Source organism: Homo sapiens, chromosome 12, assembly GCF_000001405.40.
Source record: "Homo sapiens chromosome 12, GRCh38.p14 Primary Assembly".
Classification (NCBI taxonomy): Eukaryota; Metazoa; Chordata; class Mammalia; order Primates; family Hominidae; genus Homo; species Homo sapiens.
In genome coordinates, this window is record NC_000012.12 from 79,145,760 (window position 1) to 79,173,443 (window position 27,684).

The following is a 27,684-nucleotide window of genomic DNA, read 5'->3' on the forward strand; positions in this document are numbered from 1 at the left end:
TGTTTGTTTGTTTTTTGAGACGGAGTCTCGCTCTGTCGCCCAGGCTGGAGTGCAGTGGCGGGATCTCGGCTCACTGCAAGCTCCGCCTCCCGGGTTCACGCCATTCTCCTGCCTCAGCCTCCCAAGTAGCTGGGACTACAGGCGCCCGCCACTACGCCCGGCTAATTTTTTGTATTTTTAGTAGAGACGGGGTTTCACCGTTTTAGCCGGGATGGTCTCGATCTCCTGACCTCGTGATCCGCCCGCCTCGGCCTCCCAAAGTGCTGGGATTACAGGCGTGAGCCACCGCGCCCGGCCTAAACATAGTGTTTTAAGTCCTGTGGAGGAGAGGGAAAAGCAAAAAGCTAACAGCACAACAACAAAACAAAAACCACTTCAGACTTCAAGGAGTTTTTAATCATGAGAATGTACAGCCTGTGTCCTAACCATCTTTCAGCCCTAAACATATTCCCACAGACAGGCAGCACATTCATACACCCTCAGACAACACACTACTCCGTCCTCACACTTTAGAGTAGAACGCAAGTTACAAGACAATGTCAATTAATGTTGTTGTAGGAAACAGTCCATTGGAAGGACTGGAACTGTCAGCTGTATGTCAGGCTCTTTCCCTGTACTGTCTCATTCAATCTTCGTCACTTTAGAGAAAACTGAGGCCTAAGAAAGTTCATTACCTTTCTGAAGACCACACAGATAATTATGAAAGTTTTAGAATTCAACCCTCATTCTGACTTCAAAGCCTACAACACCACCACACCACAGTACAGAGGCCTTAACCCAAACTTCCAGTTTGAGAAGACAATGCTTTGAGTAGTGTGAAATGCTAATCTTCTCCAGACATTCACCTCAGAAGCCAGGAGACATTAATAATTAAACAAAAAGGAGTGTCTGTACTTCAACAATTCTGGAAAATAATAAACTTTAAAACATGACCTTATGAAATGATATGGTAGAAGAATAAACAGAGGCCATTGAAGTTCATCAAAGGATGTTTTCTGAACGTTTTTAGATCTGACCTGGGTTTTAAAAAAATTGTGTAAAGTGTCTACAAAGTAAAGGAGATAAAAGGCTAAACAGCATATATCTACTACTTTTTTTTGAGATGGAGTCTCACTCTGTCGCCCAGGCTAGAGCACAATGGCACGATCTCAGCTCACTGCAAGCTCTGCTTCCCGGGTTCAGGCCATTCTCCTGCCTCAGCCTCCTGATTAGCTGGGATTACAGGCGCCCACCACCATGTCCGGCTAATTTTTGTATTTTTAGTAGAGAAGGGGTTTCACCATATTGGCCAGGCTGGTCTCGAACTCCTCACCTTATGATTTGCCTGCCTTGGCCTCCCAAAGTGCTGGGATTACAGGTGTGAGCCACCGTGCCCGGCCAGCATATATCTACTTTAAAAAATAAATAAATCTTCAGAATGTACACATTGTTTGTAAACTGAATCTTTGTAATCATTACCAAAAATTAAGCTGTCTACTCTTCATATTTGCTCTCTTCCTCCACCTCTTAGCTAATATAATATTTATTCTTAGCTATTATCTCCTTTATTTTCTAAGTATATGAAAAGGAAAGACAGGCCTTTAGAAAATATATTCTTAGTGTTCCCCTAATCACAAACTTTCTTGAAAATTAAAAGACAAAGAAAGGAGCTGAAGTATGTTTAAGGTGTACAGCCTATTTTTTTTCTAGACTTACACTGATTTTTAAAATATTTTTGTGAATTTTGAAACTGGGGGAAAAAGAGTGTTACAATGTTCGTTACAATAATTGTAACTTAAATTTGGACAATTTTAAGTAGGCTTTGTGAGGTTAAACAGTATTAACAGATCTTAAACTCAAAAGTTTGATAACTATAACTACATTTCTTACAATACATTCAGTACCAAATGCAAGTAGCTAATAATTAACTTGAACAGTCCCATCACAATGATTAAAAATATGTCAACTGACACAAAGGAACTGTTATACCTAATGAGTTCATAAAAGTCTGAGATTACCTACAGGAAGAAATATGAAATATCAATCCTGAATATTTTAATGTTTTAGTATTTGTAAGTCAGGGTGAGGGTCAAACGTAAAATTTTTCAAGGATGTATAAGGGAATTTGTATTTGGTGAAATAGTAATGAATTTCAGCACTAACATATAATTGGTTTGAAATAGGAAGTTTTGATGCCACATCTGGAGAACAGAATAATATAATCCACAACAGGTAGTAATTACTTACTGAAGGTAATTGTAATGCAGCTTGAGTTGTAAACATTAATGAAAAAAAAGATTTCTAAGCAAATAAAATCTCACGCATCAAAAAGACAAAAAGTTTGTGATAAATGGTTCATTTAGGCATGCAGTGCTGTGTGGGCAAAATTGGATTGCAATCATAGGCATTTCAAAAAATGAAAACATTAGGAGAAAAGAAAATTGGACAGAAATGGCAGGGAAATTACAGCCTTTGATCCATTCCGAAGAACTTTTTTTTGAAGCATCATTATGAGTGGGCAGCAAACTCCTTCCAATCTTCTGTTAAAACTTTTATGAAACCCTGGAGACCACAAGGTAAAAATAATCAATTTAGGACAGACCATGGAAATATTTTTCAGTGATAATCTTTTTTTCCCGTAAAATTGTACAAAACTAATTCCAATGTTAAATTGCTATCTGGTCTTGAAATTGACACTTTTAATTTCAGGAGAAGGTCTTTCCTGAATCATTTTTGACCTCTTCAACTAACGATCAGTTATTAGACACATGCTTCACGGTAAATTATATGGAGATGGCACAATTTCACAAAAATAAAGAGTATTGTAATGCTCTTACTGATATATCATTGAGAATATCATGGGTCCAAGAATCATACCTTTAATAATCACACCTTGAAACATAAATGGGCACTATGCTATGGAAACAGATCTTTGGCTATTGTAAATAATGCACTATAGTTTCCAAAGGGCTGAGGTGCTATATCTGTATGTGCAAAAACTTAAATTAATCCCTACAGCTTTGAAACAATGATGATGATAGACTTGTTCAATTGCTATTAAAATGTCTGTAATTTGATTGTAAACCATTAATATTCGAGATTACCGATTGGCTTTCCTTATTAAACACTGGTAATTAGTCATTTCATGAGGATTTTTGACCTTTATTGTTAAATCTAGGTTTTTAAATTAGCGTCTCAATATCGTTTAAATTAGTTCTTGTATATAAGATTATTTTAAGTTATTATCTTTGGAAGAATGTTACATCCTAAAGTTAAAAAGGAGAATTACTGGCAAATAAGTATAAGAACATTACTTTATATTTGAGTAAATAGTAGCTTTATTCTTCTGAGAGGGCTGTTTAAATCAGATTTACAATGCCTGAAGCAAAATCTAGATTTATTTTTTTACTTTATTTGACTTGACTACATTCTGTTTTCATTAACATTTTCTATTTGACCTTTTGAATTATAGACCCCTTCTAACCTAAAAAGATGTTATTATGAAAGAAGAATGTGTTTGTTTTGTATCTTTGAAAGTGAATACTGGTTTTATTGCTATTTGAAAATATTACTTAAAATATAGGGAGGTGAAATTTCAAATGAAATGACTGAAATATGTTTTTTCTGTCAAGATTTTTAACTCAACTATGGGTAAAGTAGTTTCTAGGATTTATTAATCTGCAAGTTCTATAACTAAAATGAATCATTTGCATGACACTTTTAAGGTTGTAATGGTAATTTTTCTAAATTATCCCTAACAATGTTTAGCATCATAAAATAGTTTCCTAAATAGCCTTTTTCTTAGGTCATTGTAACATATAACATATTTTTTTAATCTGAAAGAGATGAAAATCCTTGCCTTTGCCCTTGAAGAATCCATACTTTATGGAAAAGATTGATAAGTGATAAATTTAAAAATAGGGTGATGAGTGCTGTAAGGGAGGTGCTTAAACATCACTGCCTCAGGGACTGCTAGACTAGATTATATCCCCTGTGATAGACTGCCTTAGCACACTGAACTTCCCCTGTTAAAATGATCCACATTCTACATGGCAATTACGTTTTTCAAATCTGTATTCATAATAGACCATAAACTCTACACTGGCCCCACACCTTCTCTCTTGCTCACTATAGTATCTTCAATGCCAAGCATCATTTCTGACACATAGTAGCTGACTTATACATACTCACTGAAGAAATAAGTAAATGAGGGTGAATGAATGAAAGGTCTGAAACGGTGTTTTGTTATGTAACCCAGATTAGACTAGTTTTGAATTTTTTATTTTTAATTTATAAATAGTAATTGTATATGTTGATGGGGTCCAGTGAGATGTTTTGATATTTGTATACAACATGGTATAATTAAATCAAGTAATTAACATATCCATCAGTTCATATTCTAGTGTTTCATGGTGAGAGCATTTAAAATCTACTCTTTTAACAATTTTGAACCGTACATTATTACTAACTGTAGTCTCCAACAGATGAATAAAGAAAATGTGGTATATACACACAATAGAATACTATTCAGCCATTAAAAGGGAAATTCTGTCATTTGCAACAACATGAATGAACCTAGAAGACTTTATTCTAAGTAAAATAAGCAGGCACCAAGAGATAAATATTGCATGGTCTCACTTATATATGGACTCTTAAAAGTCAAACTCACAGAAGTAGAGTAAAATGGTGTTTACCAAAAGGTGTATTGGAGAAGAGGGGTAGTGGGACTTTGGTCAAAGGATACAAATTACAATTAGACAGGAGGAATAAGTTTTTGAGATGTAGTGGACAGCATGGAGACAGACCATAGTTAATAATAATGTATATTTCAGATCAGACCATTTTTAAATGGGCACTGAACTGTCATAAAAGAAATTCCAAGTGAACATGATGAGGAGGGCACAAAAACAAGATGATAGTCATGCCAAGGTGCAGAGGTGAGAAAGAGCACAGAGCAAGTTAAATCAACTGCAAGGAATCTGGAATGATTGGGCATTCATAGAATAGTATTGCAGAATAATTGCTTAAGATATTATATTGTATTTTGTTGTTGCCCTCCTCCATTTCGAGCAAGTAACCCATTACTTGTCTAAAGGCATTTTCTTTTCAGAGAAGAAAGGAGAAACAGCCAGGAGTCATTAGCAGTTCTTGTTTTTTATGAGAGTTTAAATGTATTGAAGAGATACGTTAAGTGCCTAGAAAAAAGGAAAATAAAGGGGAGCATGATTTTGAGGACAAGGAGGGAATAAGAAGAGCGACTCCTCGAGATAAGAAAGGGGAGCTAGTTTGTCAGGACCGTAAGACAATGGTAATGACTGTGCCACAGACCCAGAGGCTGCTGGCTTCACCTCAGAGTCCTGTGTCCCAATGACAGAATGAAGAAAAGGGAAGATGGGGTGATAAACCTATTGAAGAAACCACACTGGCTGAGAAATTGGGCATGTCAGAGGTGTCAAGGGTTGGCAGAGGAATTATGACCAGAGGAACTTCCATTCCTGCTTGGCATTCAGTAAATTCCTGGGACTTCGGAACAACCTGGAGATTATAAAGTTCCATATTTACTAAGATTGACATTCCCACCTGCCAGGAAGAATGGGAACTTGGAGTCAGTTTTAAGATGATTTATGAAAATAAATAAATGCAGTAGTTTTGTCATTTGAATTTGCAACTTGAAATTCATATGTGCTACCTAACCTAGAAAGACAGGTTAGAGGCACATCACTGAAGGGATCATATATCAAGCTAATACATTTGAAATTGATTCTGAAGAGAGTCGGCCATTAATGGTTTTTAATCAGGAGAATAATAAAAAACATCACCCTAATGATGACAAAAGGTTGGACTGGACAGCAACAAGACTAGTGGGAAGTTGACCAGGTACAGCCAATATTGCAGTCGAGTTGATGAGCTGGACCAAAGATTATGAGTATAGAAAGGAGCTGATGGTTTGAGAGCTATTTAGGCTGTAGAATCACCTTGATTAGATGTCTGTGGTGAAGTAAAAACAAACCTCAGAGCACTCCCAAGTTCCTGGTTCACAGCAGGGCAGTACAGAGGAGATGTAATATTATCATTTGTCCCAAAAAGTACGAGGGATGTGCTGACGAGAGAAGGGAGAAAATGATATGGAGTTCAGGAGAGAGAAATTGGGGGCTTATCAGCAAAGTTGAATGTCAAACCACATAAAAGAGACATGGCCCAGAAATGTATAGATAGTAAAAGGGCTGAGAAAAGAACTGTGTGTATTCAGGAAGTTTCAAAGAAGACTGAGGAAGAGTGAGCACAAAGCTAGAAGAACAGTAGAGAATGATGTCACAGGAGAAGTGAGAGGAGAAATTTTCTGGAAGGAGAGATTAGTCAACTGTGACAGATACTACTAAAGGGAGAGAAATTAAAATAAACTTAGGAAATTTGAACGATAAGACTTTAGATGACCTGCGAGAAAAGAATGTGCAGATGTAGGGGGATAATGTGGAAACCAGACTTCAATGGGTCAAAAAGGCAGTTCTAAGTGATGATGTAGATATGTTACAGAATTTGATCAGGAGGAGAGAGGGAGATGCAGGACTCTGAATGGTTTTTAGGACATAGGAAGTTGGCAGTGGAAAGGAGTGAGATACAAACAGACATACCTCTTCTATTGGCATGGAAGGGTGGTTGGAATCCTTATGAAGTGAGAATCGTTTTGCACTTTGTATAGGGCAGTTAGAAGTGGAAGAAAAGTGCCAGCTATCACGGAGATTGTTGTTTGTTTGCCTCTATTTTCTGAAGGGAAATGTATGAGAGAGGAATTATCTGTTATATGAGGAATATTATGTGAGGAATTATATATTCCTCATATAATCTCATATTACCTAAATATTTATCCATTATATCTATTCTATGAGAAATTGTGTGGAGGTATCTCTATAAAATGAGAAAGGAATTGTATGCTGAGAGTGAGGACACAGCTTGGAATATTAATGGTTTAGAAGTAAGCATAGTAAGTATTTGAAGAATAGAATGGAAAGGGAAGCTTGACTAGGGACAGGTGAAAGGGGTATTATAGAAATTTTTGCTAGGAGCAAAGCTTTCATTTTGGGTCCAAACTATGGAAACTAATTAACTGATGATGCTTCATAAAAAGCAAGAAAAATGTAAAAAAAAAAAAAAAAGTAAGAGAAATTAAGACCTAGGAGAAACCTTAGGTTTTACCCATTATTATTATCCTTCTCATTTATATAAGAAAATTATTACCCTTCTCATTATATATAAGAATATTCAAGACCCTTTAATTTAAGGTAAGCTACATTAATCTTGACAATAAGCTATAAGTGCCTATTTCCCAAGTTGTCATCGATGACCAAAAAACAACCCCAAAAAAGGCATTAAACTCAAAAGGAACCCTCACTGGGAGAGGTTGAGGGAAACGGGGCTGAGTTCTAGCCCAAGACATAGGTATTTCCAAAATTATTTAATTTCACAGGTTTCTCAGCTTTTGTCATCTGGAAAATAAAAACCTTAAATTTAATAGTACTTATGATCTCTATAATCAATTGGATGCCAATCAGATCAAATTCACCTGGTTTCAAATTTAACAATAAACCTATGCCCCTAGCTAGCTATCTGGAAAATTGTAGGTCGGAAGAAGAGCCATTGAACATGTTAGAAAACTCTGTTCTGTTTCACTACCTAAAAGAAAAATCGAGTTACAATTTTGATGGTTTATTGGCTACCCTAATGCAATCTATGTTATAGGATGGCTGTGGTTAAAAACTCAGTTGATGAACAATACAGACACATTAATTATGACTGGAAAAAATAAACATAAGCACAGAGGATATAATGCATTTTGTATGTAAATTATCCTGCCTTATGATAATCAAACTATGCAGCAATGGTAACCCTTCTTACTATAATGGTTATTTTCAAATGCTTTTACTTCGTTAAGTGGACTTCATAGATGATAATCTCTGACATAAAAATCATTCAATTGTCATCACTATTTCTTCAGAAAATTTGAAAGTTCATAGGTCTTTACTTAAAATGAGTCATTACGATGGTGCTATTTTTCTTTCTACTGTTTGTCTGCCCATGTATTCAATTAGACATTTGAGGTTCAGAAATAAAATCAAGTTGAATGTTTATCAGTTGGATATAAAACATGTACCCACATGGAAATCACTGTTGCTAATAATGTTGTCTCTATTTTACAGTCAGAGAAATTGACATTCAGAAAGATTAAAGAACTATGAAAACCAAGCAGATTTTAGTTGACAAATCTGAGAATCAAGCCCCTGACTTTATAAACTTAAAGTCCATTGATGTCCACTCTATAGCTTAGACTTCAGATACATTCTGCCAATCATTAGTGTGAAGTTAGGCTGAGACCTACTAGCTCATGTTACTACTAACCTGATTCTTGGTTAAATTTCTGTGGTGTATATCAGAGTTAAATATTCACAGGTATGTTAAAGAGCCACTGAAGAGCTCTTCAGAAGCTCTTCAATTTCAGAAGCTCTAAAATTTCAGAAATCACAAGAAAACTATTATTTTAGTTTAGTTAAATGTTACCTTAAAATATTGGTTAACATGTATTGAGTACTTACCCCATTGTTATGAGAACATTATGGGTAGGAATTTATTTAATCCTGAAACAACTCTATGACATAGGTACGTTTTTTTCTCCTTTTTTTTTTTTAATAAATGAGGGATCTGAGGGACAGAGAAGTTAAATACCTTGACAAGGTCATACAGCTTGTAAGTTTTGGAGCTAGATTAGGAAGCAGTCTGACCCCAGAATCTATGCTTTACACCACTGTCAGGTAGAGATAATGGGGGGAAAAAGAGCAAAACATTGAATTCAATGATTACTTACATTTTGATGAGAAGCAGGAAAATCCCTGTAGAGTGAAGCATTTAGAAAATAATGGTGTTGGGGCATGTGATAACTAAATGAGGACCACATAGTAACAAACGGAGAGAACTTCAAACACTTCGTGAAAGGGTCACTGAGGACATATTGCTTCATAGTTTCACCTGGAATGTGTGAAGATAAGTTTAGAGGGAAAAGCATATGGACTTGAGGCCTTGGAATCAACATGACAACTAAGGTTTTGGGGGAAAAAAATGCTGTTTCACTCCACTGAAGGCATATTGCACCACTTAGAGGTGCTTATTACTGAATACATCTACCAAGAAACATATGAAAGAGCCAGGAAATTATCTCTACTCCCACATGAAACAGCCATATGGCCATGGCACCACAATTTCACTCTTCTAAGCTCTTAAGCTCAGGATCTGATGAGCAAGAAAACATAAAAATAAATATTTAGCTAAATTTATGAGCCAAGTGTAGAAATTAAAAGTATATCAACATCAAGTTAATGGAAACAATGAAAATATATTATAAAAACAGAAAAATACATCTTGCTAAAGGACAAGCTAAAGAACTATGTTCATTGCCATGAAAGACCAAACAAATGTAAGAGAGATAAAAATAAAGCAAGAGATTATAAAGAGATATAAGAAAAATCATTTTATTGAAGAGCTAATCAAATATTAGAATGGGCTGCCAAGAGGGATTATAGAGGCTCTGTCTCTGAATATCAGAAGGGATGCTGTTCATCCTCATTAGTTAAAAATTCAGATGTTGGAAGGCAGGGACTCCCTAGGATCCCAGTGTTAATATAGAAATCCATACTCAGCTGTAATCATTGTCTCTGAGGCATTAACAATCCAAACATGCCTGAGTTTCTCTGTTGACATTATATTCTTTTAAAATAGGGTAAAACTTTCTTCTCATCTAGGCATCAAATCAACTGTAAAGATTTTGTTTAAAATCTGTGAGTAATTTAGTAGTGTCCTAGATTCACAGTGATGTCCCTAAATAACACAAAATATGTTTTAATGTACTTTATATATCAGAAAAGACAGCCTATTACAGTTATGTTTCCATCAATGCATTCTTTATCACAATTACAAATATCTAGTTTCACTTTTAAAATGTGCATTAAAATGGAACAAACTTCTCTGACAGACTTTTAGTGATGACTCCATTTCAGAAGGGAAAAAGCCAAAGGGAATTCTTCTGTTGCCTTCCGGCCTCTCTTGTGTATTTCCTCTTCACAGAGTAGAACTTGAATACTTTCAACCAACCAACGTGAGATGGGAATTTGTTAACAATTACATAACCTCAGTGGATAACTTGATTGCCTAATCAGCCATTGTTACATGTGTGGAGCAAATTACTAAATCATGTACTCAGTCTCTAACCAATCTTCCTAGAGGAAAAACATATTAAAATCTACTTAGGTCTAACATCTGGTCATTGTATATCTATCAAGTACCGTATGCCAAGTGTGTTACATATACGACTTCATACTAAGAACAACCTTGGACAAGATGAGTATTATTATTATTCATTTTACAAGTGACAAAACCGGAACTCAATAGGGTTTGACAGAATGAACTGACAGAATTGTGAAGCTAATCCAGAGAGGTTTATCTGACTTAGAAAGCCCACCATCAGTGAGCGAGGCCGTATGACCTCATTTTAATCAGGGAAGCTCACTGGTGTTCCTTGTATACACAGATGGCTTGTACGGGTAAATTATCTGTGTATGTGTGTAACCCTTTAAGGTTGTTTGCCTTCAGAGACTATTCTTACCCCCAAACTGCCTGAAAACTGTAGGCTGTTCAGTTAATTGTTGTGGTTGTTGCTGCTGTTGTTGTTGTTGTTGTTGTTGTTGTTCTTGTTGTTGTTGTTGTTATGGAGTCTCGCTCTGTCTCCCAGGCTGGAGTGCAGTGGCATGATCTCAGCTCACTGCAACCTCTGCCTCCCAAGTTCAAGCAATTCTCCTGCCTCAGCTTCCCAAGTAGCTGGGACTACAGGCACATGCCACCATGCCTGGCTAATTTTTTGTATTTTTAGTAGAGACAGGGTTTCACCGTGTTAGCCAGGATGGTCTTGATCTCCTGACCTTGTGATCTGCCCGCCTCAGCCTCCCAAAGTACTGGGATTACAGGCGTGAGCCACCGCACCTGGCCTGTTCAGTTAATTTTTAATTCAATTATTTAATCAAAAATCATCAAAATTTAACACAACTTAAAGGTTCTGATTAGATGTACTCAGTGACTTCACTCAGAGAAGGGTCCTACTTGGCGAGCATGACTGTCACTTGTCACAAGCAAACACTTCCAGGTCACCTTTCCCCTCACCAATACAGGCAGGAAGTGTCCAGAGCTTCACCTCTAGAATTGGCTTAGGCAAGAGAGAGACAGACTGATGGGGAGGAAAAGAGGAGGAGGGAAAGGCGGTGTCAGGGTGAGGTGCAGAGAAGAGGAACTTGTAGAGTTCAAGTAGACTGCCTAGACTGATCCTGGGTCTGGGTCACCCATCCCTGCTCCTGCCACCTCTGCACCTGCTGCAGTTAGTACCCTCTCCTTTCCACTGTCAGGCAAGCTTGTCACGCAAGACAAAGTGAACTGCTTGCCGTTTATTGCAAGGGAACTTTTTAGCAGTGACCTTTAAAAGCACCACATCCTATAGGCATGACTATCATTCACCCTTTGCATTGATGCAGGTGGCTGAAGTATGACACCAGGTTATGCACCTTGGGCAATTAAAAATTGCAAAAGACAGACTGACACTAGGTGAAAAAACCAAAATAGCTACTTCAGAATCAACCTCCATCCCGTCGCTATTTAGAGACTTCTTTTTTGAAATAGAAAGTGACAAAAAGTCCCCCACTTTAAATGAAACCTAAACATGTTTAACTCTGTCTGTACAAAGAACCTGACAAAAATAATGTACTCATTTGACCTTATATGATAAATATGTGCTTCCATTCCATGTTGGTTTGATGGTACTGTTCATCTAATAAATACTTATGGAGTATTGGACAAATGTCAGGAACTAGATTGGGTATTAAGAATATAAGGAAAAAACAGGATATTGTCACTGCCAGTGAAAGACTGGCTTTATAATTGGAAAGGCAAACAATTATAGGACTTTGTACTAAGAGCTTTAACCTTACTATGCCCTGGAATTCTTCTAAGTGATTTAAGTATATTAACCCAATAATTCTCCCAACAACTTTTCACATGGTTGCTATTATTATCCCCCATTTTACTAATAGAGAAAATAAAGCACAGAGAGGTTAAGTGACTTACTAATTTATTTATTAATACCTCTGAAACTAGGACTCAAACTCAGGCAGCTGACTCCAGAGTCCACATTTACATCCACCATGGTATAAAGGAGCAGTCCCCAATTTTGGCATTGGGGACCAGTTTCATGGAAGACGATTTTTCCATGGACCAGTGGGGAATGAACGGGGTGGTTTCGGGGTGATTCAAGCACACTACATTTATCATGCACTTTATTTCTATTATTATTACATTGTAACATATATACATATGTTACAAGTAACTACATATGTACAAGTAACTACATAACTCACTATCATGTAGAATCAGTGCGATCCCTGAGCTTATTGTCCTACAACTAGATGGTCCCATCTGGGGGTGATGGGAGACAATGACAGATCATCAGGCATTAAATTCTCATAGGGAGCACACAACCCAGATTCCTCACATGCACAGTTCACAATAGGGTTGGCCCTCCTGGAAGTATCTAATGTCACTGCTGATCTGACAAGAGGTGGAGCTCAGGTAGTAATGTGAGCGATGAAGAGGGGCTGTAAATACAAATGAAGCTTTGCTGCTTACCTGCCACTCACCTCCTGCTGTGTGGCCTTGGTCCTGAGAGGCCACACACCAGTACTGGTCCATGGCCTGTAGTTTGGGGACCCCTGCTATAATCACCTAAAATAAGAGAGTGACCCTTTCAGGGGAACCAGGAAATATTTCTGAGTAATAATAATAGATGATAAAAGGCCAGGCATGGTGGCTCATACCTGTAATCCCAGCACTTTAGGAGGCTGAGTCAGGTGGATCGCTTGAGCTCAGGAGTTCAAGACCAGCCTGGGCAACATGGTGAAAACCCATCTCTACAAAAAATACAAAAATATCTGGCTGTAGTGGAGCACACCTGTAGTCCCAGCTATTTTGGAGGCTGATGCAGGAGAATCACTTGAGCCCAGGAAGTCGAGGCTGCAGTGAGCTGTGATCACGCCACTGAACTCCAGCCTGGGTGACAAGTGAAACCTTGTCTCAAAAAAAAAAAATTGATAAAAGATAGGTTGAATTTATAGTCAAAGAAAAGTATTTCAAGGCAAAACATGTAGCATGTCCTGAGGCAACACAGTTTGTTCAAGGAACCTTGATGAAGTCTGTAAAAAATGGCATTTAAAGTATGTCAGAGAAATGAAGAAAGGCGGGGAAATTACATTAGGACCAGATTGGAAAAGGCCTCTTATGCTTTGCTGAAGAGTTTGCACTTTATCCTGCAAACAATAGAGAGACAGCAAAGGTTTCCAAAGCAAGGAAAGAGAGGTGAACAGTAAGGTGGAGCATAGGCTGGTGGATTCTCTCCAAATTATAGAAAACGCAAAATGTAGAAATTAGGTAGGTTTAGAGATGATGCATACATATCATATTCAGCATTTTGTTTTCTAAGACTTATCCTGAGGACTGACAAAGAGAGTACTGGGGAGTGAAGACAGAAAGAGGAAACAGAAGACAGAATGGCTGGGAAGGTTGAGTAGTCCCCCCTTATCTGTGGATTGCTTTCCAAGGTTTCAGTTACCTGTGGTCAACCACAGATTGAAAATATTACAGTATTTTGAGACAGAGAGAGACAGAGAGATAGACCATGTTCATGTAACTTTTATTACAGTATATTATTATAATTGTTCTATCTTATTATGGTAATTGTTGTTACTCTCTCACTGTGCCTAATTTATACGTTAAACTTTATCATAGGTATGTATATGTAGGAAAAAAATAGTATATCTAGGGTTCAGTACTATCTAAGGCTTCAGGCCTCCACTGGGGAAATTGGAACGTAACCCCCATGGAGAAAGGGAGATTACTGTACACAGAAAACCATTAGCATGTTTCATCAAATCTAAGGCACCATCGACTGTAGAGCACATTAATTTTAAGAAATCCTAAGAAAGAAAAATACTTCCAGTTAAACACCGTCTGTTATTAGATACATTCCAATTTCTCGGAGTTAAAATGTAGCAGGGAATGCATCTCAGAATCTATGAAATATTGTATAATAACTTAGGCAAAAGTAGAATTGATCACTGGTTCCAGCCACTGAGTAAATGAGAACATAAATTAATTGCAAAAATACTTATTGAGTGTTGCAAAAATACTTACTGAGTATTACATGGAAATATAATGGAGATGTTGAGAATAAATGGCGGTTGTGATTGAAGGGAAGAAATGATCATGTTTTAAGATATTTAGAAAATAGAACTATTAGGCTTTGTTGTGCTACTGAATGCAGATGGTGAGGGAGAGACATTTAAGTGATGTCTAAGATGGCTGATGAGGTAATGTCTTTAAGACCAAAAGGGCAAAAAGAAGATCATGTTGGGCTATGACATCAAGTTTGGCTTTGGACATGCTGAGGTTGAAATATAAGTAGGACTTACATGTGGGATCCCCAGCAGGCAGTTGGAATATTGGCCCTAGCTCAGAAAAGAAGATAGAACTAGAGGTATTGATTTTGGATGCATCTAAGTGATGTGGTCAATGAAACCATGGAAGTGGATGAAGCCACTTACAAAATAAAAAGTCTGGCTAAGAAGTTATGTTCACGTGAACTAAGGGAAAGCATTAGAAATAAATGAAAGGAGACAGATTCAAGACATACTGTGAAGATGTCATTTCTAGGTCTTGATAACTGATGATCTTTAGGTATTGAGAGAAAAATGGTCCCAATAAGAGATACAGAGAAGTTAAGAAATATAGCAGTTTAGTTGGAGAAGAGTAAAAATTTCAGTTCTAGATATGCTATGTTGAAAGTGCTGCCAAGACATCAAGTGAAAATGACCCAAGAATAGTTGAAAATGTGGTCTATATTTCTGGAGATGGGGCAAATCTAGAGATGTAAATTTGCAAATCATCTATTCATAGTGAGAATTGGTGCTGTGGCATAAAAGATTGCCAAGAGAAAAAATATAAAGAAATAGTAAAGGTTTCAAGCATAGAACCTTAGAGTAAGCTATACTTAGCAGAAGTCATGTGGTGCATAATGACCTTTTGATCAATGACAGACTGCATTTATGATAGTGGTCCATAAAATTATAAGACTGGGCCAGGCGCAGTGGCTCACACCTGGAGTCTCAACATTTTGGGAGTTCCAGGCAGGTGGATCGTTTGAGCCCAAGAGCTCGAGACCATCCTAGGCAATATAGCAAAAACCCATATCTATTTTTTAAAAAACACAAAAAATATTAGCCAGGTATGGTGGGTGCACCTGTAGTCCCAGGTACTCAGGATGCTAAGGCAGAAGGATCACTTGAGCCCAGGAGGCAAAGGTTGTAGTGAGCCAAGATTGTGCCACTGCAATCCAGCCTGGGCAACAGAGTGAGATCCTGTCTCAAAAAAGTGGGGGATTATAAGACTGTATTTTTACTTTACCTTTTCTATGTTTAAATACATTTAAAGTACAAATACTTACCATTGTGTTACAGTTTTGCCTAGAGTATTCAGTACAGTCACATGCTAGGTTTGTAGCCTAGGAGAAAAAGGCTACACCATATAACCTAGCAGTGTAAAAGGCCATACCATCTAGATTTGTGTAAGTACACTCTATAATGTTTGCTCAGTGACAAAATCACCTAACAATGCATTTTTCAGACTGTATTCCATCGTTGTTAAGTGATGCATGCCTTATGCCAAATAATACTATTTAATAAAATACTAAAACTACTACTATATAATGGATGCTGACATGTGTAAGACATTTTACATCTGATTTAAAATACTTATAACTGCATAACAGATAATCAACTGTCTATTTTACAACTGAAGAACATCTGAGGTTTAGTAACATTCCCAGGGTCACAGAGCTAGTAAGTGACTGAGTAGGGATTTGAGCCTGAGGCTCTTTCTTGGAAGCCCTCATGTTTCATACTGCACCCAGCCTACACAAAGCCTATCCTCCTTTAATTTTTATACATTGCTCTTACTTCTTTATAGAGTATAATATCAAACCCAAATGCTTACAGAAGACACAAGTAAGTAACATATGAGAGACCCTAGCTGGGTCTTTCCCTAAGGATATCTGGAATTGTATGCTTCTGACACTGGCATGCTTCTTTTAACTATGAAGACATATTGTTCGATTCCACACACAAAGAAAAGGTTTTCTTGAAATATGTGATCTTCTTACTCTATTCTCATTTTTCTGTATTTTGACTGAAACATGGAAACAAGTATTTCTCTACCATAAGAAAGCAACAATGTAAGATGATGTTAAGAGCACCAGATACTTGAATTCAGTTTTGTGTACAATAAGGAATGGTGAGAACTATTGCAAAATGGAGAGTAAAACTCCATCTAAAAAGGTGGCAAACCCCCAAAGCTCTGTGTTGCTCAAATTTCAGATTTTGTAAGGGAAGGTGGAAACTTAAAATATTAGGTGAAGCCTCCCATTGATAATGTGACTCATTATTTTAAATACTATGCAAGCTAAAGAAAAAATCCCTGTGGGCAAAATGCACTTCAAAAGATGACACCACACTGCCTTATATTCTCGAAATTTAATATTTCCAATTCCTTCAACGGTTTATGTTGCTTGATTTACAAAACTTTATACTCTCCTTTGAACAGAGACCATTCTATTCACTGTTCCTCTTAAAATATGACATCTAGAGCTAAACAAAATCATGCAGCTTCTCTCTGGCCTTCTCAGAATTCAGTGAAACTGCTACTATTTTTGTGCTGAGCACTATATGCTAATGTAACCTAGTATTGCATTAGCTTTTTCTTTTTTTAGCATTTACAACATTTTACTGGTGCCTAATGAGTTTTAGTCCATAAAAACCCTTAGTTATTTTTTCACATTAACTGCCGAGGTAAATCTTAACTCATCCAATACTTACAAAGAAGCAGCAATTTTGTTTTGAAATTAAATGCAAGACTTTACATTTTCTCTATTAATTTTTTATGGTGTAGATAGAGTTGAATAAACTTTATTTTATTTATGTGGGCCCATTATTCTAGATTTCAGGCAGAGTTTTCAATCATCTGTCTCTTTCCACAGCTTCAAGTATAAGGATCTACAATTCATTATATGTACTGTGCACAGATACAATGAATGTTCCTGAGAAATCTCATCCACCAAGGTGCACACAATTTTAAAAGGTTCAAATCAGAATTGATCCATAATTAGAATATTACATTAGCCTTTAAGAACTATCCCCACAGCACCCTGCAAATAACCACAGCATTATCTGTATTTGCCTGCCTTATGTATATGCACCCAGAGACGTCACACTGAGTGGGACACCTACTGCACACAGGGTGTCATTTCAGTAATTTCATCTATTTGGCTGCTTCTGCTATCATCCAGAACTCCAGCCTTAAGTCCTCTTCAGTGTTCATGGTAATTAGGAAATTCCTTTCTGGCAACTGTAAACATATGTTTGATCATAGAGAACATTCTCTTCCTGTTCCTCTGTTTAAAAGAACTAACCCATAAACATCAATTTATCTGGCTCATGGGGGCCTTGCACTCCACATGGCTTCCTTTCAGGGAACTGTGTAGGCTACAGTATCAATAATGAAAGTAGCTCATGCATCCTAAGGGGTCACTATGTGCCAAGCACTATGCTGTGCACTTTATGTAAGTCGTCTCCTATATTCCTTGATAACACGGTCTAAAGAAGGACTTCACAGCCAAGGAACTAAGATGTAAAGAACTTGAGTAGCCTCACAAGGTCAGTAATTGTCAGGGTCAATTTTCCAAAAAGCCTGTCTACACTGAAAACTCTGCTCTTTCTATTGCCGTTCTCGTTCCTCTGCAGGTCAGCTGACCCTTCCTTTGGTGTAGTCAAATAAATTACCAGTTGGACAGCAGCACCCGCCATCACCAATGAATACCCTGTGTTCTGTGTTCTAAAGAGCTAATTTGGCAGGCATGTATCAAACCCTAAAGCAGAGTTCCCTCATAGTCCACTACTAAGTCTATACTTTTTAGCCTTTTTAAATCAAGGGGAGTATTTTTCAAACATTTTTCTCATTGTTTGTTAAGTAGGTGCTTTAGAGCTCAACATACACCTTCATTTCTTCAATCAGGCTGTTGGTAGGATATTGAATGAGAAAGAATTCTGGGCTGTGCCATTGTTGTATGACTTTCTATCTTTTTTCCACCATGACACAGATAATTGACATACATATCTGTATCATGTTCACAATACCCATTGCACTCCTAATTCTGAAGCTTCTTTTCCATTAAAAAAATAAGATCACAAGCATAAAATAAAGTAAGCATGGTATTATCGTAGGGACAACATCAAATCAGTTTTACTTTTTAAAGGAAGTAATTAAGAAATGTTGGTGCTTTACCATCGGGGATAAATTACTGGTGTCCCAAGACACTACTGCGGAGGACCACTTAGCTTGAAGCATTCACAGAGAATTTAGTGGGCATCTTTTCTTTAAAACTTCCATTGTTCCACCAACTATTAATTCATCTAAACTAGATTGCCCTCTCATTCTTCATTTTTCCATTTGCTTTTACAAAAAATGTTGCAAGAAGTTGTGCGGATGCCTCACTAAATTAAAAAGTATGTGAGTACGAATAAATATTTATTACTTTTTCATCCACATCAGGCTTTGCTGTCATGAGATGAGAATAAAGAGAAAGACCTATGTCCCTTTACCTGCCTTAGAGCATGCCCAGAAAAAAACAATATAGAGAGAAATCCTTAGTAATTGCTTCTCTCAGTGGCTGCAATCTCTGTTGAGCCTCTTGTTTTGTCTTTGGAAATTTAATGTTTAATTATTTTTAATATGTCAAAATATTAGTTTCTCAAGAGAGAGGCTGTGCAGTAACAGGCATTTGGAGATCATTGGTTGCTTTGCAAAGTGGATAGATTAGATTTAAATTTATTTTTTAATGAATCAAGAAATATCCAGCTTTTACATTTAATAAATAAGAAATGGCAAATGAACAAAGGGAAATGGTGATGTAGACAGAACCCGGCGGATACCTAAATTTCTGTTGAGGGAGATTTATCCCTGTAGTTTAAGACTTTGATATAAAGTAAAAGGCAAATATCTAGAGAGGTAACCTTTTGGCTATCATTGGTCTTTTGTGAAGGAGTTGGACACAAATTTTGATAAGACCGTAGAAAGAGAGGAATCTTATACTGGAATCCCTGTGGAAGTGAGAGGAAAGCAATAATAGGGTTGTTGGTTTTTTTTCATTATCTTCAAAATTTTTGCTGACTAGTGTCCCATTATTGTTTAGAAACGTAATTTTTCTTAGACAAGTATCAGCTAAGCTCATTTAAGAGAAGCTTGCTCTGGGTGACATTTTTGCTGCATTTATCTTTAGAAACAATTTTTAACTCTGTTTTTCTATGTCATTTATGGCTGAAAATTATAATTGAACAGTTAGAAAAAATCTCTGTTGATTAATTACATAGCTTATGTGGTATTTAAATAGCCAAATTTATTACATATTTGTAGCTTGAGAGTATTCTTCACAAATAAAAGCTTTTTTCTGGGCTAGGCACCATCCCAAATCAGATTTAGAACAGTGTTGCAAAGGTTTTGTTCACTAAATGTATTCCAAAATTATAATGTTCTTTAAGGACGGTATGGTTGCTGATTTTATTTGATGGTTTACTGTGAAGACTCTTCGATTAAAATGTGTTTCACTGAAAATTTATTCTTCAAGCAGACGCCTTAGAAATTTATCTTGATTGCAATGGAAGATGGCAATTTAGAACAATTATTTATCCTTATAATAACTCAAGAGCTTTTATCATCAAGCACTTGCTATTTGAAGACCTGACTCCCATTGCTAAATAAGTGAATATTAATCTGATTGTTTTTAGTCCTTATAACATAACTTAATCTTTTGCTACCCTATTGCATGAACTGAGTAAATATTAAATGGGAGCTGAATTGTCCACCTTCTCCACTGTTTATAAAGATACATATTAGGTATGTTACAATAGAATGAGTGCTAAAGCACATTTTCTTTTGAAGAATAATATTCTAGGAAACTTAAATTTCATTACTTGCTAAAGATCACCCATGGAATTCAATTTTTTCTTACTTTTTCTCATTTTGACTACCTGCCTTATTGCACAAAAACATATTACTGTTTACAAGAAATCATTATCCTTTATTTTCAAATGGAAAAGGCAAACCAAAGACAATAATCAAAATTGGATATTATGTCAGATTCGTCAACTTGGAATTCTGAGATTTGATTATTCAAAACGTGGAACAGTACCTATAAAATTTGTTTTTACCTTTGTAAGCCATCTGGAACTCAAGAGCCATTAGACCTGCTTTTGCAAATCACTGTTTTATACAAATAAAACAATTTTTCAGAAGGCAATTTAGAATTTTGAAACACATACCAATTGTCAGAGTCAGTCTGTCAGGTTCTGCTCATCATTAATTTTTTAAAACATCAATTATGGTAAACTCTATCATAATTGCAATAGAATACAATTCAATAATGAATATAAACATTTAATGCAATGCATAGAATAGAATTCATAAGCTGACAATAATATTGGTCTCTTCATATTCTATTCAGGGAAGCCCAAGCTCTAAACTGATATATACACTGCAGAGACTAGGAGACAAAGGTAATATTCTGAAGAAGAATATTTTAGGGAGAAAAAATGAGAAAATGAATAGCCATCTAGGTCATTTTTAGACCAAAATTTTATTTAATTTTATTTTTATGGTGTGATGCCCAAGTAATGGTTCAATAGCATCACAAATAGTCCTAAACCCTGGGGGATAACATGCTCTCCTTCTATTTTTAGAAATGCAATTGACATCAAAATAGGTATAAAAATACCTACCTCCCTGGGTCTTGTGAGGATCAAATGAGATGATGTGTATGAAAGACTCCAGATGCTATACAAATGTTGGTTGGATTATACGGGAAGCTTTAGAGATGCCTTTGCACAGTGGAAGGATCCTTGGACTTGGTAGTTGAAAAAACTCAGTTTTGCTAGCCATGTTATTTTGAGTAAATCATTTAAATTTAATTCCTCTGTGTCATACTTTTTACATGTAAAACGAGGATATAATTTCTACCACAGTGCTGTTTTGTAAATCACCTCAAACAAAATGAGATCTATAATGAAAGTGCTTTATAAACAATGAAGCATAATGCTAATAGTGTAACAGATTGTTAATAGAGTACTTATTAAATATGGCATAAGTAAAGGAATGACATTTACAACAAAATAAATACAATTGTTTAAGTGAAAAATCTATGTAGAAAGGATTGAGAATTGAACTGAGTTCTTCTGTTGAATACTTACCATATTGCGATCTCAGATTCCCTATGAAAAGGACAAAGTCCTGCCCTTGAAAATGTTAGGATTTCAAGAAGACGTAGGGCATACTTTGGGTATCTACAAGATATAAAGGAAATAAACCCAAAACTAAAATTTGCATTATAAGCCACTTTTATGGTTAAATCTCATTCCTAGCCTGAATAATACTTTTTATTGAGAATCAGTTGTATAGAAAGCATTGTCTTATGTCCTGATTTCTGGGAGAATGTGTGTGTTTGTGTGTGCTTGTGTGTAGTGGAAATGGATTTGAAAGGTATACTACAAAAGAATGTAAATGTTTACTTCTATTCCCTCAAGCTTATATACTTGAGAAACATAAAATTTGATAATACGAAGAATCACAGAATAAATATCAAATGACTTACCCTAGAATGTATTACTGAAACTTATTAAGCCTACTATGTGGAAAATGGTCTTTAATTATTTTTACCAAAGAAACAAGAAGGTGAAATGTCAGGGACTGAATATTTGTGGCTATACTTTCCCCCAAAATCTAATAAATTGCAATTAAAACATTAAGAATTAAGAATAATTATGCTTATAGTGTAATACAGCGGTCCCCAACATTTTTGGCACCAGGGGCTTGTTTCATGGAAGACAATTTTTCCCTGGGGGATGCAGCGGGCTGGGAATGGGGTGGTTTGGGAATGAAGCTGTTGCATGTCAGGTCATCAGGCATTAGATTCTCATAAGGAGCGTAACAACCTAGATCCCTCACATGTGCAGTCTACAATAGGGTTCACTCACCACAGGGTTCACAATCCTATGAGAATCTAATGCCTCTGCTGATCTGACAAGAGGCAGAACTCAGGCAGTAATGCTCATTCTCCATCTGCCACTCACCTCCTGCTGTGCGGTCCAGTTCCTAACAGGCCATGGACTGGTACCCATCCCTGGCAGGAGTTTGGGGACCTCTGGTCTAATACATATGTATGTACTTAACTTCTTTGTCTTCTAGTTATTCCTTTAGAAATGTAAAGAGACAGGGAGCTTAAGAGAGACAACTAGATCTGGTTAGAGCCTTATTTGAGTGAAAGTTGTCAGATTACCTCCCTAAGCCTCAGTTTCCTCATCTGTGAGGGAAGTCCTAACTCAATGGGTTGTTGTAAAGATTCAGCATTATAATCAACACAAGTGAACCAAAACCGTGTCAGGCAAATGCTTGGGTCTCAAAAAAGTGAGAGTTTATTAAGTGTCTCAGTAATCTTTATTCTTAATAAACCCACCAAGTGATAGTTTGATCTGGCAAAGATGGGACGGCACACCCAGCACTAAACTTAACTATTCTCTTTCACACAGAATATTGCTAGTTTTTACTGGTGACATTTTAATTTTAAATTTACATTTTAAATTTTTCTGATATAGTCACTGGGAAGACAAAGGACAGAGTTTGTTACAGTGAGAAAATAACACAATTTTCTGAGGTCTTTTTCATGAAATGTTTTAAACTGGAGCTTTGTCTTTGGAAATTCTTGCTCTTGGACATAGTTATCATGTTGTTTGAGGTTAGCAAGGATGTGATTTTGAGGTCACAACCAGACATTGTTTACTGAATGTGTATAAGATAAAATGAGATGAGAGGGTAATTATCTATAGGTTTGCCTTAATTAGCAGATAACATTTTCTAATTTAACGAGGCCTCAGTGATAATAATCAACAGTCAAGTTTCTAAATAGCTTTCCCATATCTTTGTGGCCATTAATTCCCTCATCTTTAAGTTTTCGACATTCTTTTCAAGGCATCTGGAACACTTGAGCAGCAATTTTCCCTGTTTGCAGCAATCACCAGTTGAATGCTTTTGTGAATGAGAAATTAAATGGGTTTTCAACAATGTAGATAGTTTTAAGTGAGAGTCCCATTGAAATTATGGATGAATCAAGGGACAGCAGGAAGTCTGTGATTTTCTCCATTTGCAAATGTTTTTCTAAAAAATGCCATCCTAAGAACACTTTACAGATATTAACCCATTAATTCCAGTGCCTCATTTTTTTGAAGTAATTCTTATTCTTTCTTTATGGCTCCAAAAATTCACAGAAGAATAGTTAGCAAAGCAGCAGTCAACTATCCACACCAAATTTTATAAACTGCATTAAATGTACTACTATTCACTGGAAAACTCTTATAAAATATATACATGCATGACTTACAAAAGTATAAATTATAAATGGTATGAAAAATGCTTCAAAATCTAGAAAGAATGTAAGAACTTAGGCAGGGAAAAAAGAAATATATACAATCTTATTTAGCGATCTGCTTATTATCACATGAATTTGTGAGCAGAATGATCTAGAGAAGGCCTATGACATGTAGTGAGGCAAACAACATTTTAAAAACTCCTCTGGAAGAAGATGGAATCAATGAAGTTTCAAATTCACCTGCAAAAGTTACAAGCAGATTTGAACTATGTGACCAAATCTAGCTGCACCTAGATTTGAAAGGACACCATTTGGATTTGCCATATGCGCTTCTGAGAAGGAGAGAGGTATGAGTAGAGCTTTTTTTTTAACTTTTAAATTTAGGGGTACAAGTGCATGTTTGTTTCATAGGTAAACTTGTGTTATGTGGGTTTGTTGTACAGATTATTTCATCATTCAGGTATTAATCCTGGTACCCATTAGTTATTTTTCCTGATCCTCTCCCTCCTTCACCTACCTGGCTCCAAAAGGCCCCAGGATGTGTTGTTCCCCTCTATGTGTCCATGTGTCCTCATCGTTTAGCCCCTATTTAGAAGTGAGAACATGTGGTATTCGGTTTTCTGTTCCTGTATTAGTTTGCTAAGGTTAATGGCCTTCAGCTCCATCCATGTCTCTGCAAAGGACATGATCTCATTCTTTTTTATGGCTACATAGTATTCCGTGGTGTATATGTACCACATTTTCTTTAGCCAGTCTATCATTGATGGGCATTTAGGTTGATTCCATATCTTTGCTATTGTGAATAGGGCTGCAATGAACATACACATGCATGAGTCTTTATAATAGAATGATTTCTATTCCTTTGAGTATATACCCAGTAATGGGATTGCTGGGTCAAATGGTAGTTCTGTCTTTAGGTCTTTGAGGCATTGCCACACTGTCTTCTACAATGGCTGAACTAATTTACACTCCCACCAACAATGTAAAATCATTCCTTTTTCTCCACAACCTTGCCAGCATCCATTATTTTTTGACTTTTTGATACTAGCCATTCTAACTGGTGTTAGGTAGTATCTCACTGTGGTTTTGATTTGCATTTCTCTAATGATCAGTAATGTCGAACTTTTTTTATATGATTTTTGGCCACATGTATGTCTTCTTTTGAAAAGGGTCTGTTCTTGACCTTTGCCCACTTTTTTATGGGATTGTTTGTGGGGTTTTTTGTACATTTGTTTAAGTTCCTTATGGATGCTGGATATTAGACCTTTGTTAGATGCATAGTTTGCAAAAACTTCCTCCCATTCTGTAGATTGTCTGTTTACTCTGTTGATAGTTTCTTTTGCTGTGCAGAAGCTCTTTAGTTTAATTAGGTCCTATTTGTCAATTTTTACATTTGTTGCAATTGCTTTTGGTATCTTCATCATGAAATCTTTGCCCATACCTATGTCCTGAATGGTATTGCCTAGGTTGTCTTCCAGAGTTTTTATAGTTTGAGGTTTTACACTTAAGACTTTAATCTATTTTATGTTGATTTTATATATGGCAGGGGTCCAGCTTCAATCTTTTTCATATGCCTAGCCAATTATCCCAGCACCATTGATTGAATAGGGAGTCCTTTCCCCATTGCTTGTTTTTGTCAGGTTTGTTGAAGATCAGAGAGTTGTAGGTGTGCAGTTTTATTTCCGGATTCTCTATTCTGTTCCATTGGTCTATGTGTCTCTTTTGGTACCAATACCATGCTGTTTGGATTACTGTAGCCCTACAATATAGTTTGAAGTTGGGTAGTGTGACGCCTCCAGCTTTGTTCTTTTGCTTAGGGTTGCATTGGCTATTTGGGGTCTTTATTTGGTTCCACATGAATTTTAAAATAGTTTTCTCTAGTTCTGTAAAGAATGTCAAGAGTAGTTTAATAGGAATAGCATTGAATCTACGAATTACTTTGGATAGTATAGCCATTTTCATGATATTGATTCTTCCTCTCCATGAGCATGGAATGTTTTTCCATTTGTTTGTGTCATCTCTGATTTCTTTGAGCAGTGGTTTGCAGTTCTCCTTGTAGAGATCTTTCACCTCCCTAGTTAGCTGTATTCCTAGGTATTTTATTCTTTATGTGGCAAGAGTAGAAATATTTTTAAGGAAGATGATTCTTGCTCCTACTAAATAACTATAGAAGAGGAAGAATCATTTGGCTTTCACATGACTTGTGTATTATAAATAAAAAAGTTCTTTCAAATTAATTCCATTTACTATGTTTTATATATTCCTTCCATAATTCACTTATTCTATTCAGTAAAGGCTTAGTCTGCCAAAACCACTGCATGATTTTCCAAAGGAGGTACACAGTAAAAAAAAAATGATTAGAACCATAAGTTCTGGAGTTGGACCACATGGGTTTAGATCTTGGCTATACTCCTTGCTAGCTGTGTAACATGGATGAACTAGTTAATCTCTCCAAACCTCAGTCTCCTCAGCTCTCCTATTATTAATAAAATCGGTTTAATAATAATGTATTCCTCCTTATTTTAATGAGAGGATTAAATGATAGCATGTTGAGAAAGCACTTACACAGTATCTGGCATATTATAAATGTCCAATAAGTACTAGTTATTGTTAGAATTTCTGGATTTAAAGAGATCACTTATTTTTTAAAGGTATCTTGATTGTTACTACTATATCATGCAAATCTTTATCTCTTTTAATTATTTATTTAATGACAGAAAAATACTGTAAAAACTGAAAAATTCAAAATTAATTTTCCAAGTGCCTAAGTAATTTCTAAATAGAGATATAAACACATTTAAGTTCACAATAATAATTGCATTTCATTGGAGTTTTACAACTACTGCTTGGTTCTAAATGCTTTGAACTAGACAGTTAAACTTCTCATATTTTAAATTTTTTTCCAAACATAAAATGCATACATTGAATAACCTAACTTTAGGTATACTGAGACTTCATTTTATAATGAACAGTTACATGAAGAGTGCCTGCTCCCAAAAAAAGGAGTTATAATGCTTCAATTTTAAGTGGTAAGACATTTACTGGGACACAGAGTAAAATTATAGTGAAAAATGTGAAGATGCTATCTGAATAGTGATAAGATAATTTTATTGTCTATTTAAAGACAGGCCTTGGCAATTGGAAAATATTAGTTAAATCTTTTTTGAGCTTTTTGCTGTTATTGTTGTTTTTATTATGTTACTAGTTTTGCTTTCTTTCTTCTATCTTATAATATTTTCCCTAAAGAATGGGGTTAGTTATGTGGGGCAATCTAATATGATGGTATTTATAATGCTCTAAATTAAATTTTTGAGCTAAGAAAATCAGTCACAACACTTGAGATTTGTCAATTTTCTAGTGAATTATAGTTATCTGTAAACAGTTTTGATTATGAAACTTCTATGAAATCTCTCATTATTTTGTAACTTCTTTCCCTTATTTATTTTACAGACTAAGCCATTTTCTCTTAAGCCTATGTTAGCAGCATCTCCCCTTGGAAATACTATGATCATTTGATAATACTGGGTTTCAAACTCTAGATGCCTTTCTCACATTGGCTTCATAGTTCAATTCCATAAGTTTGTGTCAAGATACTACTACATGTAATTCAGGTTACTAGAGTTCCTGCTCTCAAAAAAAAAAAAAAAAAAAAAAAAAAAAAAAAAAAAAGGGAGTTTGGCCTGTCCAGAAATAAAATAATGTGGCAGAAAAGGTATATAAAACCTCTTGAGATTTTAGGGAACTGATTAATAGCATCTCTACCTTTTCACATCAGAGTCCTGAACCAACTAAGAGGTAGAACAAAGTATCAAGCTGCTACAGATCAGGATAGTAGCTTTTTGCATTATGGGCTTAAATGTGTATCCCCAATTTGGTTCCTTGAATTGAGCTTACAATTCAGATCAGCAATGCTCCCCTGCAAGTTCCCTGTAAGCTCACTATGCATCTGATAGAGCAGCATGCAGCCTCTTAGGAGGTAGGCAGATGGACAGTAAGAACCCTAAATGTCCTGGACTAAGCGTGCTTAATTTCTTCCCCCAAATTTGTCAGTTAGGCCAAGCATCCTCCCCACTGCCCCACCTGGGCAAGATGGATGAAGGAAAGGA

The 27,684-nt window shown here is 36.1% G+C and overlaps 1 protein-coding gene and 1 long non-coding RNA gene across 17 annotated transcripts in view; one reads left to right on the forward strand and one right to left on the reverse strand.

Moving 5' to 3' along the window:
• SYT1 (synaptotagmin 1) overlaps positions 1 to 27,684 on the forward strand; it is a 588,027-nt gene that overhangs the window by 281,778 nt on the left and 278,565 nt on the right. The window lies entirely within an intron of this gene.
• On the reverse strand, positions 375 to 27,209 carry LOC124902973 (uncharacterized). The gene is made up of 2 exons (XR_007063386.1): positions 8,837 to 27,209; positions 375 to 2,541 (listed from the first exon to the last, which is right to left on the reverse strand). It is a non-coding gene; the product is annotated as an uncharacterized LOC124902973 (long non-coding RNA).